The sequence below is a fragment of the Homo sapiens genome, chromosome 4 (genome assembly GCF_000001405.40).
Source record: "Homo sapiens chromosome 4, GRCh38.p14 Primary Assembly".
NCBI lineage: Eukaryota > Metazoa > Chordata > Mammalia > Primates > Hominidae > Homo > Homo sapiens.
In genome coordinates, this window is record NC_000004.12 from 102,498,600 (window position 1) to 102,512,428 (window position 13,829).

The following is a 13,829-nucleotide window of genomic DNA, read 5'->3' on the forward strand; positions in this document are numbered from 1 at the left end:
GCAGCCTGAGGCCCTCACCAGACGCATATGCTGGTGCCATGCTTCTTGTACAGTCTGAAGACTGTGAGCCTAATAAACCTCTTTTCATTATAAGCTACCTAGTCTTGTGTATTCTGCCATAGCAACACAAATGAACTAAGACAAGTGACAAACACAAAATAACTTGTCTTTTAGACAATATTGATGTCTGAAATTCCACATTGAGGCATTTTTTTCCTCTTCGTAGCCTGATAATGGCAAATACCTTCTGACACCTTAGGATGGATGAATTTGTAAGAGATATTCCTGGAAGCAGGTTTGTACAGTGTAGAGAAAATGTTGGGTAACAAAGCAGGAATGGAGGAGGGTTAATCAGCAAGCCAAAAAGCTTTTATAGTTTTGCCTGCTGTGCTGCATGGAATTACATCCCCCCAAAACATATGTTCAAGTCCTAACCACAGGTACCTGTGAACATGAGTTTATTTGGAACTAGGATCTTTGCAAATGTTATCAAGTTAAGATGAGGTAATACTGGATTGGGGTGGGCTCTAAATCCAATGACTGGTGTCTTCATAAAAGAAAGGTGAGGGAGAGTTGAATATAGCGACACAAAGGAAACACGGGGAAGGAGACCATGTGACAATGTAGGCACAGAATGGAGTGTTGCAGCCAAGCCAAGAATGGCAAGGATTGCTGGAGCTACCAGAAGCTAGGAGGAGGCAAAGGATTCTTCCCTAGAGCCTTCAGAGGGATCATGGCCTTAATGGCACCTTGAGTTCAGAATTTTAGGCTCCAGGACTGTGACAGAATAAATTCCCGTTGTAAGCTGTTCAGTCGGTGGTAAATTTTTACAGCAGCCCCAGGAAAATATGCCTGCTCAACACCCTACCCTGAATTTTAAGTTCATTTTATGGAATCATTTTGAGTTTGGAGTTTGATTTAATCCTTTTCAGTAATTAACGCTCTTCATTTTTTACTCCCAAATATGTCACACTGGCTCTACTCTTATAACAATTGTATTTATCTATCTTTTGGTAATGGGGCTGCCACCCCTTGCAGAATGAAAAGTAGAGTGTGTATGCTCACACCTCCCTCCCTCCCTCCCTCTCTCCCTCCCTCTCTCTTTCTTTCTTTCTCAGAGTATCGCTCTGTCTCGCCCAGGCTGGAGTGCAGTGGCGCAATCTTGGCTCACTGCAACCTCTGCCTCCAGGGTTCAAGCGATTCTCCTGCCTCAGCCTCTGGAGTAGCTGGGATTACAGGCGCCCGCCACCACGCCCGGCTAATTTTTTTGTATTGTTAGTAGAGATGGGGTTTCACCATATTGGTCAGGCTGGTCTCAAACTCCTGACCTCAGGGGATCCACCCGCCTTGGCCTCCCAAAGTGCTGGGATTACAGGTGTGAGCCACCGCACCCGGCTCACAGAATTTCTTAAAAAGTCATTGTGTTCAGTCTTTATGGATCCTCTAAATTCCAGCTGCTCAGCCTCCCGGAGCTAAATGAGATCACTTAAAGGTCGACTGTTGGGGCCTCCAAGGTCGCCTCGGAGACTCACCTCATAGGCAATCAAATGGATCGCTGGGTTTTTGTGTGTGTGGGTTTTTTTTGTTTATTTTTTTTTTCCAGAAAAACACTCCACCAAGAAGGTTTTTATAACCTACTGGAGGAGGAGGATGGAGAGTGGGCACGAAAGGACTAGGATGAACATGCCATAAGCAATCTAAATGCCACTGCAATATTGCCTGGTGAGGACCTGATTACTGATGTTTTAAAGCTAAGCTTTCAGTTGTCACTCCACCCAGTAGTGAAACAATGAGCTCTAAAATATATATTTCGGCTCAAGCTTTCTTATGTGGGGAGGTAATCCACCCGAAGGTATCCCCAGCCTGTACCTAATACAGTGCCCAGCACTAAAGCAGCTCAGATGCCAGTGAATGGTGGCCACTGGGAGGCCTGTCAGTGGGTGCCAGTAGCGGTCTCTTCAGAGAAAAAGAAAACTCCCCTCTGCCAGATCAGTATTTTATGAGCTGTGAACCAAAACCATTGCTACCACCATCACTATAATTCTATCCACAGTAATTATCATAAAGGCCTAACAATGCCTTGTAGATGAACATTCTGAGTAACTGCTCTATAACCAGGAGATTTAAGACCGCACCAAAAACCAGTAGAGGGTTATACTTTACTGGGCACAAGTCGTTTATGATAACGAAATTGTAGTTTAATCTGTGAAGAGATGTGAATGTAACTGAGACACGCTTAAATGGAATATACAGATGAGCTTTATTTTTATATCTGGCATGCTTGGATCCATGCCGACCCTCCAGCTGCTCGGGCCTGCCCTTAGGGGCTATGGACCGCATGACTCTATCAGCGGCACTGCCACCGCCGCCGCCTCCGTGCTGCCTGCGTTCCCCGACCATTGATTGGGCCCGGCAGGCGCTTCCTGGGGGCTTCCCTACCGGCTCCAGCCCTTGGGATTCGGGAGCGCCCTGCTAGGAAGCCAGAGCCCCGCAGGGGCCGCGGCGTCCAGGCCGCCTAACGCGCGCCCCTCGCCCGGCGCCCCGAAGCGGCCCCGAGGGGCGGGAGCCGAGGCGAGCGGCAAGGCCGGGCCGGGGGCGCACAGCGCCCCTAGAAGTGCGGGCTTCCCCCACCCCCGGCAGCGACCCTACCTCCCGCCCCCGCTGCGTGCGCGCGTGTGTCCGTCTGTCTGTATGCTCTCTCGACGTCAGTGGGAATTTCCAGCCAGGAAGTGAGAGAGTGAGCGAGACAGAAAGAGAGAGAAGTGCACCAGCGAGCCGGGGCAGGAAGAGGAGGTTTCGCCACCGGAGCGGCCCGGCGACGCGCTGACAGCTTCCCCTGCCCTTCCCGTCGGTCGGGCCGCCAGCCGCCGCAGCCCTCGGCCTGCACGCAGCCACCGGCCCCGCTCCCGGAGCCCAGCGCCGCCGAGGCCGCAGCCGCCCGGCCAGTAAGGCGGCGCCGCCGCCCGGCCACCGCGCGCCCTGCGCTTCCCTCCGCCCGCGCTGCGGCCATGGCGCGGCGCTGACTGGCCTGGCCCGGCCCCGCCGCGCTCCCGCTCGCCCCGACCCGCACTCGGGCCCGCCCGGGCTCCGGCCTGCCGCCGCCTCTTCCTTCTCCAGCCGGCAGGCCCGCGCCGCTTAGGAGGGAGAGCCCACCCGCGCCAGGAGGCCGAACGCGGACTCGCCACCCGGGTAAGCCAAACTCGGGCGAGTGGGGGCCCGGCAGGGGACGCGTGGCCCAAGTCCTGCCGCCCAGCCCTCCGCACCCCCTCCAGCCCCACTCGGACTTCCTCATTCCTGCGCTAACCGCTGGGCTAGACCGTGGGAGGAGGTTGACAGTAGCTGAGAGGCACATGGGATTAGCGACAGCGGGGAAAGACACATCCGGACCTCGCAGGGGCTAGTCGGCCGAAGGGCCGCGGCCGCCCGGCGGTCATTTCTCTTCACGTCCCTCCGCGGGGCGGGAACGCGAACCGGAGGGGAACTCTTACAAACTTTTAAAATCCCCAACCCCAGCCCCACCTGGGGGATGGTGAGAAGGTTGGAGTGCGCTGCGGCGCGGAGGAGAGAGGGAAGGTGGTTGGTGCAGTGCAGAACCAGATTTCACCTAAGGGCGTTCCATGAAATGAAAGCAGAAGTGCTTGTCAGTCCTCTTGGCTGGGAAAGCCCTCCCCAGCTCCCCAGAATTGAATAGGAGAGTCTATTCATCCCTCTCCTACTTCTAAAAGAAACCTGGCTCGCTCTCTGTCTCTCTCTCTCTCCCCCCTCCCCCCCTCCGTGCGCGCGCGCGCGCGCACACACACACACACACACACACACACACACACACACGATATAGTCACCTGCTATAGGACTTGATTCTGATCCTCCGGGGCCTGGCATTTGAGAGAGAAAATAAATTACCTACCTGGATACTTAGAGCACTTTTTAGACTTGATTATGTAAAACTCTTGGACAGTGCCACCATGCATTATGCATGACCGCTGAAACAAAAATAATGTAAAAACAAGGCCTATCCTAAATGCAAGTTTTTCTATGGTCCTTAAAAACAGACACCAGGGAATGTTTGCCCTGACTTGCTGGTTTATCCTGAAACTCAAATGGGACTTAATGATACAGGATTTAATTATCAAGATTGACATGTTCATGGACTTTGTTAAGTAGAGGTTTTCAGCATTACAGTTTATGAAATAACCATATTTAACTCAAAGATTTTTTTATAAAGCTCATAATCTGAAAAAATGCTTATGGTATTACTAAAACATTTAATAGCTCTGGCATCAAAATATTCTACATACTGGTGATCTTTTAGTAAATAGTAAAGGTTAGGGTCAAGATATTCAATAATTTTTTTCTAGCAGAATCCCACAACTGAATATTGTCAAGCAGTTTAAACTGCATTCGTGTTTGTTAAAACTTTAAAAGGGAAACTTAAAACTAAAGTATGTTGTTTTTCTGATTTTAATATTGTGCTTTCTAGAGATGAATCCTTTTACTGTTTGAGGCACTATAGGAATTATGTATTTAAATGTATGTATTTAAATTTGAAGCAATGTACTTTTTTGAGTTTATAAACTTGGGAAGACAGGAAATAAAAAGATTTGTTTCCTGTAGAATTTTACATTCATGATTTAATTGAATTGCTAAAATGGAAAGAACATGTACGATTAATGGAGACTTGGAATCTGAGATTATTCATCCATATTGATACACCTGCAATTCCTAAATGCCCTCCCCTGCTTGTTTAGATAAAATGTCTTCCTGGGCTGCAGCCTACTGGACAAACTTGAACACAAAGGAACACACGTTATATGTACATTTAATACTGGAACCGAAAAGCTGCTTGCAGTGAAAAGCAAACCACTTCTAAACTCTTTGAGACTTTTTAAAGAAGGTAGTATAATCCTTTTAGGGGTTGGTGGTGATGTGAAAATCTATTATCTTTTTGCTGAAATTTCATTCTTATGTTAGGCATTGGCACTCACTTGTGCTGAGTAAATGCCCGTGTTTTTCAAACCCAGATAGTAAATACTGGGGGTATACATACAAAAATAGTCCTTCCCCTTTGTAAGCATTGCTTTGATCTTTGCACTTCCTTTTTACTCTACCTCTTAAACAAGATCTGTGTTGATTGAGTTGATTAAAGCACAATTAATCTGAAATAGGCAGAATTTTAGATTTAGTGATTATATTCCTTACATTTCTGTTGTTACTGTTCCTGGAAACAAATTGAAGTAGTTTGAGAAACTAATATTTATGCAGGTTGTTTTAACTACACTTTTAGACTTGCAGATAATTGATTAAGTAAGTTACTACCTTGACTTTCAGGGATTGCTCATTGTGGTAGATACGAGGTCTAGATAGGGAATTGGCAGCTACATGAATGTTGGACTATCATTCCATCAGCAAGACCTTATTTTTACCTAATTTATGAGAGGTATTTCTCTGTTCAGAAGAGGTGAAAGTTCTGGCTTCTGGGGGGAAGTGGTTACTTCATAACCTTCAATTGGTTTGAACTTGGGAGAAGTAAGAAAAGTAGTCGATATTTTCAAACAGTAAAATAATTGTATCTGAGTTGCTGTATGGATTTTTGATGAAGTACTCAAAATGTCATCTTTTGCATCTTCGGGTCTTAGTAGATGTGCTATTCTGAGTATAGAATTGACTGCAGTAGGAAGTGTATCTGGAAATGCACAGTACTGTTGTATAACCAATAGAGTAAATTCTCAGATTATGCTCTTCTGGTCCACAGATTGATCAGAAATCACATTAACAGGAATGGATGTCTATGCAAAATTTCTCATTAATTTTCTTACTTTTAGTAGGAAGTTTGTTTTATTCGGTTGGTCTGTTGGTTTTCTGTTTACAAGGTGAATTGTCTACAGTAGTGGGATTGTTATATTAGAAGAGAAGGAGAAGGAAAAATAGAAGTTAGTGCTAGAGGATATGTTAAGATGTTCTGCTCCTACATCTACATTTGTGTCTAATCAGCATTAATTGATGACTACGTCTTGGTAAACAGTAGACCATACTGGAGCAATTTACTCTGCTTTTTGGGAATTAGTTCTCATTTGCACTCTTGCACCTCCCATAAATACTGAACTCACTTGTAGTGTTCTTAGAGGTCAGCAATAAACCATCAAGAGCATATGATCTCTCTTTGAATTTTGTCACTACTTTGGAGACAGACAGTTTGGAAGAACTGAAGGTACTCAGCCTCAGGGAGAAAGGTTTGAACGTTTTGGCATAGTCCTGCAAGTCAGTTTGGCTCCTTGACTGTGAATTTTTTTAATCAAAAAAGATTAATATTTGAAACCACATAATTTGGACAGTTAATAGTTCTGGTAACATAACCAAGCCTTTTATCTTTGTAGTATTTCATTAATTAGTATCCAGTGCCTCACTTTTAGAAGAAAAAAAGAGAAAAAAGTAGTAACATTCTTTTAATGATGATGAAATTGCTTCATACCTTTGGTCTCTGCTGTATTAGGGGTTGTTCCTGGGTGCAAATTAATATACTGTCTTTTACATTTCCGGAGGTTGTTGACCTGGCCTTGAAGATCAGCCAACAGTTTAGAAAATAAGTTGTGCAAATTGCATTGCTACACCTCAAATAATTTAAAGCCTGACAGTTCTGTACAGAATAAGAGTCACATAAGATGTGATTTGTTAAAGATTATAGAAATCTCAGAAGATAGATTATGGATGAAAATATTTGTTTAATTTAGAGTACTAATAATAAAAATAGTGCATTTTACATTTTAAAAAGAAAACAATTTTTATTGTGTCATATTTTCTGTAGTAACAAACAGAATTAATTATCAGTAATACAAATTTCATCTGCTTTAATTTATTGCCTGTTTTTGAAATTAGAATAATGATATATTTGGTTTAATTATCCATTACAAATTGCCTTATTATTTTTCATTCATCTTTCACCATTAATCCAGAAACCTTAAAATAGCTTTTATTTTGACCCATGCCTTCAGTAGATATCAACAGACTTGAGTTCATCTATGGATCCTATTAGTTTAAACTGTGACAAATTTTGACTGCTTAAGCTTTAGAAAAGAATTTATTCTTTAAAATAGCCAAAATTATAAAAAATGAAATAAAGAAAAAGCTGTTTGAGAGAATCAAATACTCTAGTTTAACTAAAAATAAATAATATCTAATCAATACTGACGAAAGAAATATCTGATGCTTAGCATTGTACTTGTTGGTACATAGTAAGCAATCATTAACTGTTAAATGAATGAATGATATGAAGTTGTTGCAAAATTTTTTTTTAAATGGACAGCCATCTTCTATAAGGAACAAAAATTACATTATTTTGCTTTGCCTTCTGGAAAGAAAGGAGCACAAAATAGTCCTTGTGTCTTAGATATTATGGAAATCTTATCTAAAGACCACTTGAAGTTTACTAGAACAAATAATTTATTAAAAAGTATCTGGCGCCTTCCAAAAGGGGAACATTTCATTCTGAAAGAGGCATTTATGAACTAGAAAAAAAATGCCTTTTAGTTTCAAAGTTTTAGAGGCACCAGAGCAAGATTATAAAGTAATTGGAATGATAAAAGGTGCTTGTAAAATTGAAAAATGTAATTTTTTGGTGAAGTTAGAATTTCTGTACACTCCATTGAAACTGTAATATCAAATACTAATACCTCCAAAAAAGAAACAATGCTACAAGCACTGCTTGGTAATCTAAGAATTGTTAACACTTATCTAAATTAATCAACCAAAAAGTTAAAACAAAATATGTTATTTTGTTATGTTACCTCTAGAATTAAACACCTATCACCCATAAATCTGTGACTGTTAAAAGTTACTAGATGGCAAACCTCAGGAACAAGCAGGCAGTTAGCAGGGTTTACTGTACTTTCCACTTTCATACTTTAATGATTTTTCCAACACTATAGAAGCTGGGGCCTCATCCTAGCACAGTTTGTTCATTATTTTTCAGTTGTAGCATTTTTTAAAAGTTGGCCTTGAATTTCTGAATTGAACCATTTATTTTTTTGTGGACACAGTTTTTTAAATGAAATATACCATTTAGACTAGAAAAGAGCAAAATGCCAATACTCCCTGTCCTAGTGTCATTGTGCCCCCTGGGAACCCTAATGCAGTCCTGTGGGAAAACAACCATTTTATTGAGCGCTGCTCACTTCAGTTCATTCTGCTTTGCTGCCACTTAGTTCTGGTTCTGACCCTGATCTCCCCTCACATCACTCACAACAAACATTCAAGTTTAAAAATTAAGTTAAAAGTTAGTTACATATATATGTAACTAATGTGTATATTAAATATACTGATATATATTAGTTACATATACAGATATGGCAACAACAAAAAAGGTTATATATATACATATTTGTAACTAATATGTATATTAAATATAATGATATATGTATAAATACATATTTGTAACTAATATAATTATATTTAATATATATTAGTTACAAATATGTATATATAATATTTTTTGTTGTTGCCAGCAAAATGAGAAAGAAATTAAATGTTAACATCTATAACAATTGCACTGTAAAGCCGTCATTGTTGAAAAGTACTCCGAAGATTAATAGCGGCAGTGTTTGTTAAAATAATAAAATAATCCAGGCACTCTGCCTGTGACTTCCCCATGAGATGGCTTCCAGAAAAAGATAAATTTTTGTGTGTTCCCTTACGAGTTCAGTCTGCAGCTTCTGGGCATGAAGAGAAGCATAAACAAAACAAACAAGGCTCTAACTTTGTTATAATCCTTACGCTACTAGTAGAAATGTATGGACAATTCATGCATTTCATATTGGAAAATAAAGCTATTAGATTTTTCTTTGAGATGAACCTTTTTTTTGTAATTTATTTTTTATTTTTTATTTTTTTTCAGTAGAGATGGGATTTTGCTCTGTTGGCCAGGCTGGTCTCAAACTCCTGACCTCAAGTGATCCACCCGCCTCAGCCTCCCAAAGTGCCGGGATTACAGGCGTGAGCCACCTAGCTTGGCCAAGGTGAACCTTTTTGATAAATGAGGCTCACTAATATTTCTAGGATTTACTTTTCACTAACTTGAACTAAAGAAAGTATAAGACCTGCATAAAGTTGAGCATACCTCTATAATGTCCCATTTTAAAAAGCAATTTGTTTTTAATGACTTTTATTTGTTAAAAGCAGTTATTTCAAAAAATTATTTTTATTATTTATCATGTCATTTGGACTGAAAATACTATACCATATTTCAGTGTTAGGGCACACCTATCCCTCTTTATCCCAGACGTCAATTCTACCATATAACAAGTATGTAAAAAAGAAAACATAAAAGTGATGACAGACTCCCTAATCAACCTATTTATTGGTTCTAAGCCCAAGCCTGCAGTTCATTTAAATAGTGAAAATAGATTACTTAATTGTCTTAGAAAATATGTCTTCCATGACAAGAATTTTAGGAATGAGAAAATAACTATTTTTGGATGTTTTAACACAAATTCCCAAATCATGTTTTATTGATATTTGAAGAACCTCTTTGTCTACCAGTTCTTAAGTATAGGCTTATTTTGTAAGGCTTAAACATGTATTGGTGTTTGACTGTTAAGACTTGATCTATAACCTTCAGTGTCTTTTTCTTTTAAATGGGGTATGGACTTGGTAATGAGGCCAGAGGAGAATACCTTACAATTTATAGCATCTGCATATAATACAAGAACCTTCATGATTTATAAAATTAAAATGATGATGATGTGGAATGATGGAAGAAGCATGTGTGGGTGGCTATTTATGTAGAGGAAATTAGAAGTTGAAAGCAATGTTAAGAATTAAAATTAAATTACACTTAATTTTTTGCTCAGTTGGATAGTCAGGAAAGTACTTAAATCAGCAATTGATTTACGTAAAATCAAAACTGAAAACTGAATATACAATCTAGGAAATAGGAAAAAAATTTTTAGTGTGTTCATACTGCTAATTTCAAACCAAGCAAAAAACCTGGGGAACTACTTTTCAGAGGAGATGGCTTAAAATGAACCAAAAATATAGCCATTTCTCTACCCTATTCATTTAATGCATTCATTTATTATACTGCTAATACATGATAAGGTGAATAGGTTAAGCATCGTTTGTATATGTGTATGTGATTTTAAACCTGAGTCTTTTGAAAGATTGGTCAAAGCAAAGGATAATGAAAGCATAAAGATTTAGGGGGAAGAGTCCTCTATAAAACTAAGACTTAAACTTTGTTATCAACTTGAATGTGAAGATAGAATAATCTAGAAAGTGAATGAGAATTATAAATAAAAGGACAAATCATATATCTCATGGTTGAGAAATACAATGAGATAAATTGTATATCTCATCTCATGGAGGGTCATAATGAAAGAAGTAAGAGAGATTGCCCTTGGATAGAACCTTTCGGCAGACATTTCATAATGGATTATCATATTTTTGCTAAACTGGTAAGAATGGACTTTTCACCACATTATGAAAAAACACTTTAGAAGTCAGTTGCGATCAAGCAAATATAAGTACCTGGGAAATTAAAATCAAAAGCACAGCAGTCCAACAATAGTCAAATGCATTTACTCACTCTCATACCATATCATAGCGTTAATTTGAGATAATGTCTTTATGGTGTCTCTTTATATATTTACTCGATTTCCCATTTAAGACATTTAACCAAATTTAAAAAGCAATCCTTAGAAACTTTAAAAATATTTCCTATTTTAAACCATTACATAATCATTTACCCTGCAGTTACAATTCTTTTTTTGTGATGGGTGGGGAAGTATCCCATTTCTCTTAGAAAGTCTTCTGTAATAGCCAAATAGGAGTCAATCCAAGTTGCTTAGAGAGGTAGTTCAATCCTGTGTTGAAATAGATGACTTTTGGAGTAATTGTGCTATATTTACTGAGTATCTGTTGAACTGTAGGAGTCCAGTCATTCAAGGCAAGCTACAGAAATGATTTTATTGCTGAGGCACTTAAGTATCTTCACATCTATATGCCAATATTAAATTTCTCATCATCCTTGATCCCCACCCCTTTGCACAGATTGGTATCCCCAGCACATTAGGGAATGCGGTTGTTAGCCTGTTAGGGTCCATTCAGTAGATTTCTCATGCCAGAAATCTAGAAGCCCTTCTTATACATTCAGCTTTCTTCTTCAGTCAGTCACCAAGTTCTATCAAGGCAGCCTCCTCATCTCCAGAATCCATCCCTTCCTCGTTGAATTTCTAGATTTTATTTTTGCATTGTCTCCTGCTTCTAACCCATCGTTCATTTCGCATAATGGTCAGCTTTCTAAAGTGTAAATCGGATCATGTCTCTGCAGTGAATCCCAGTTGTCTTCACAAGCTGATTCTCGCACACCTCACCCCCTTACTCCCTCCGGTGTTCCCCAACCATCCCCTAATCTCAAATCCTCCACACCGACTTTCAGTTTCCTATCCACAGTTTCTGACTTTGAATGCCTTTGCTTATGCCCTCCCTGTATGAGAAGTGCCTTTTCTTTCCTAGCCATCCTGCTAACTTCTAAACCCTTAGGCCTGGTTTGAGCATCACCATTTCTCTCACTTGCCTTTCTGTTTTCTCCCTCCCCTTTCCATAAAGAGTTATGTGCCCCCATTCTGTGTTCTCCTGAATTCCTGTGGGTCCTAGAAAAGAAACATCTTGAGGGCAAGGAGTTCATCTTATTTACTTTTTATTTGCACAGCACCTGGTGTGTTTGCTGAATAAGTAAATACCGAACAAGATATCAAGAGACAGTGCTGCCAATTAACTGTGTGGCTCTGAGCAAGTTAATTAACTTCTCTGAGTCTTATTTTTGTTCTGTAAAAAAAATGAGGTTTGACAAAATGAGCATCTCTCTCTAAAATTATGTGTTTCTTTGATGTAATTGTATTAATTGGAAGACTTCAGATTTTCTTGCCATATCAAGATAGGTCAACTTAAGAAAAATGCATGTGAGTAAGTACCAAGCCAATTCTTGATTATCAGTATGATAATATGAGGAACTGCCCATTTTGTCGATAATAAGTTATAATTTTTGGTCTCAGTGTAGGTTCTTTCTCAAATCCAGATGTTTCTGGTGTTGCATTTTTTCATTATTATTCAGTCTCTCGCATTCATATTTCTCCAAAGAAATTTATGGAAAACTTGAGACAAAAATTGAATGTAAAGTTTAATATTTAAATGCTAGATTGATTCAAGGTCTCACTAATTATAACTATATTTGGAGGGAGAAGAAGGGGAGGTGGTGGTAGTATGAGCTGAATCCTCCTCTGTTCCTTCCTAGAAGGAACACAACGTCCTACATCAAGAAAAAAGACAGAAGCATATCTTGGAGATATGAAAAGAACCACCAGGTAAACTAAAAAGAAAAAGAGTGTTAAAAAGTCAGCCTTTAAAAAGCAGGATTGGAGATGAGGAGGGGTGGAGTAGGGGAAGCATTGCTTGTTTATAGAAGCTCTTCCATCTTCGTATAGTGTGATTTTTATTTTTTTATTATTTTTTCCTTCCTTTTTTTTGACCTCCAGCTTTAGTATAGTACAGTTGACAGAAATTATATATGTTTATGGTACACAAGATGATGTTTTGATATACATATGCATTGTGAAATGATTAAATCAAGCTGATTAACATAAGTAGGGTTTTATTTCTTTAACAGTGATTTATTTGAATATATGTTGAGTCCTTTCTATGTGCCAGACACAGTTCTAAGGACAAGGCACACAGTGCCAAACAAGACAGAAATCCAGAAATTCATGGAGCTTAAATCATGTAGTCTTTTCAGTTTTTAAAATTTTCTTGCTGGGCGTAGTGGCTCATATCTGTAATCCCAGTACTTCAGGAGGCCGAGAAGGGAGGATTGCTTAAACCCAGGAATTTGAGACCAGCATGGACAAAATAGCGAGACCCCAGTCTCTACAAAAAATTTAAAAATTAGCTGGGCATGGTGGCACATGCCTGTGGTCCCAGCTCTTCAGGAGGCCGAGGTAGGAGGTTCACTTGAGCCTGGGAGGTTGAGGCTTCAGTGAGCAGCGATTGTGCCACTGCAGTCCAGTCTAGGCAACAAAGCAAGACTGTCTCAAAAAAGGAAAAAAAAAATAGAAAGAGAAACTTTATTTTTACATTAGCCTTTTTTAAGTTGAAGAATCCCATAGCTAAAAAAGTACACAAATATTAATGCTGCAACTTTAGTGATTTATCTCAAGGTGAACACGTTTAACCTAGTGGGTGGTCAAGAAATAGAACACTGGCAGCACTGCAAAAGCATCCTATCTGCCCTTTCTTAGTTAGGACCCCTTCCCTCCACTGTCATTTAAAAGATTTCACAAACAACTTTTGGATTATATGTATGTCAATTCTGTGACTCATATATATCCACATAGACAATGGAGCGTTGACTGAATGAATTCATTATTCCAAGGTGCTAATAATGAGCTTCACACCAGCGGGAACTCTGCTGTGTCAGTTGGGCTCTAAGCTCAGTTCATTTCAGATATTCCTCACTAAACAAAATACTGTTTTTCCTCAGTTGTTAGTAAAAAATAGAAAACAGATTACATTCTCATTTACTTATTACTTATGAATGTAAAAGTAAATATTTTGCTTAATACCAAGTAGCCAGGGTCACTGACAGAGACATGGGAGAAAGAAGTATTCACATCTGATGTTATCAGACATAGAAGAGAGAGGTATAGTTCACCTATTTCTCCCCACTCAGTTTATACATTGACATCTGTATGTGTGTTGTTTTGTTTTGTTTTGTTTGTTTGTTTTGAGATGTGGTGTCGCTCTGTCACACAGGCTGGAATGCAGTGGCGCAATCATGGCTCACTGCA

General features: G+C 39.7%; 1 protein-coding gene and 1 long non-coding RNA gene across 10 annotated transcripts in view, besides 3 other annotated features; one reads left to right on the forward strand and one right to left on the reverse strand.

The window, feature by feature from the left end:
* NFKB1-AS1 (NFKB1 antisense RNA 1) overlaps positions 1-3,887 on the reverse strand; it is an 83,885-nt gene extending 79,998 nt beyond the window's left edge. The window contains exon 1 of the long non-coding RNA NR_136202.1: positions 3,840-3,887. This is a non-coding gene — a long non-coding RNA (NFKB1 antisense RNA 1). The remainder of the gene's footprint in view (positions 1-3,839) is intronic.
* Positions 2,440-2,699: a silencer, noted in NCBI's record as "silent region_15596". NCBI's record gives its function as "represses an Ori minimal core promoter by ATAC-STARR-seq in GM12878 lymphoblastoid cells {active_cell/tissue: GM12878}" and the evidence as "EXISTENCE:reporter gene assay evidence [ECO:0000049][PMID:35858748]".
* Positions 2,710-3,279: a silencer, noted in NCBI's record as "silent region_15597". NCBI's record gives its function as "represses an Ori minimal core promoter by ATAC-STARR-seq in GM12878 lymphoblastoid cells {active_cell/tissue: GM12878}" and the evidence as "EXISTENCE:reporter gene assay evidence [ECO:0000049][PMID:35858748]".
* Positions 2,760-13,829, forward strand: part of NFKB1 (nuclear factor kappa B subunit 1) — a 115,944-nt gene continuing 104,874 nt past the window's right edge. For 3 of the 9 annotated variants that reach the window (NM_001382626.1, XM_024454069.2, NM_001382627.1), the window contains exons 1-2: positions 2,760-3,189; positions 12,281-12,350. Coding sequence is in view for 1 of the 9 variants with exons in the window: in XM_024454069.2 (XP_024309837.1) it covers positions 12,334-12,350 (17 nt within the window). In the remaining 8 variants the exon portion in view is untranslated. Of the gene's footprint in view, positions 3,190-3,334; positions 3,574-12,280; positions 12,351-13,829 lie in introns of those variants that run through there. The other 6 variants (NM_003998.4, NM_001165412.2, NM_001382628.1 and 3 more) reach the window with 3 other exon arrangements.
* Positions 3,390-3,439: an enhancer, noted in NCBI's record as "active region_21753". NCBI's record gives its function as "activates an Ori minimal core promoter by ATAC-STARR-seq in GM12878 lymphoblastoid cells {active_cell/tissue: GM12878}" and the evidence as "EXISTENCE:reporter gene assay evidence [ECO:0000049][PMID:35858748]".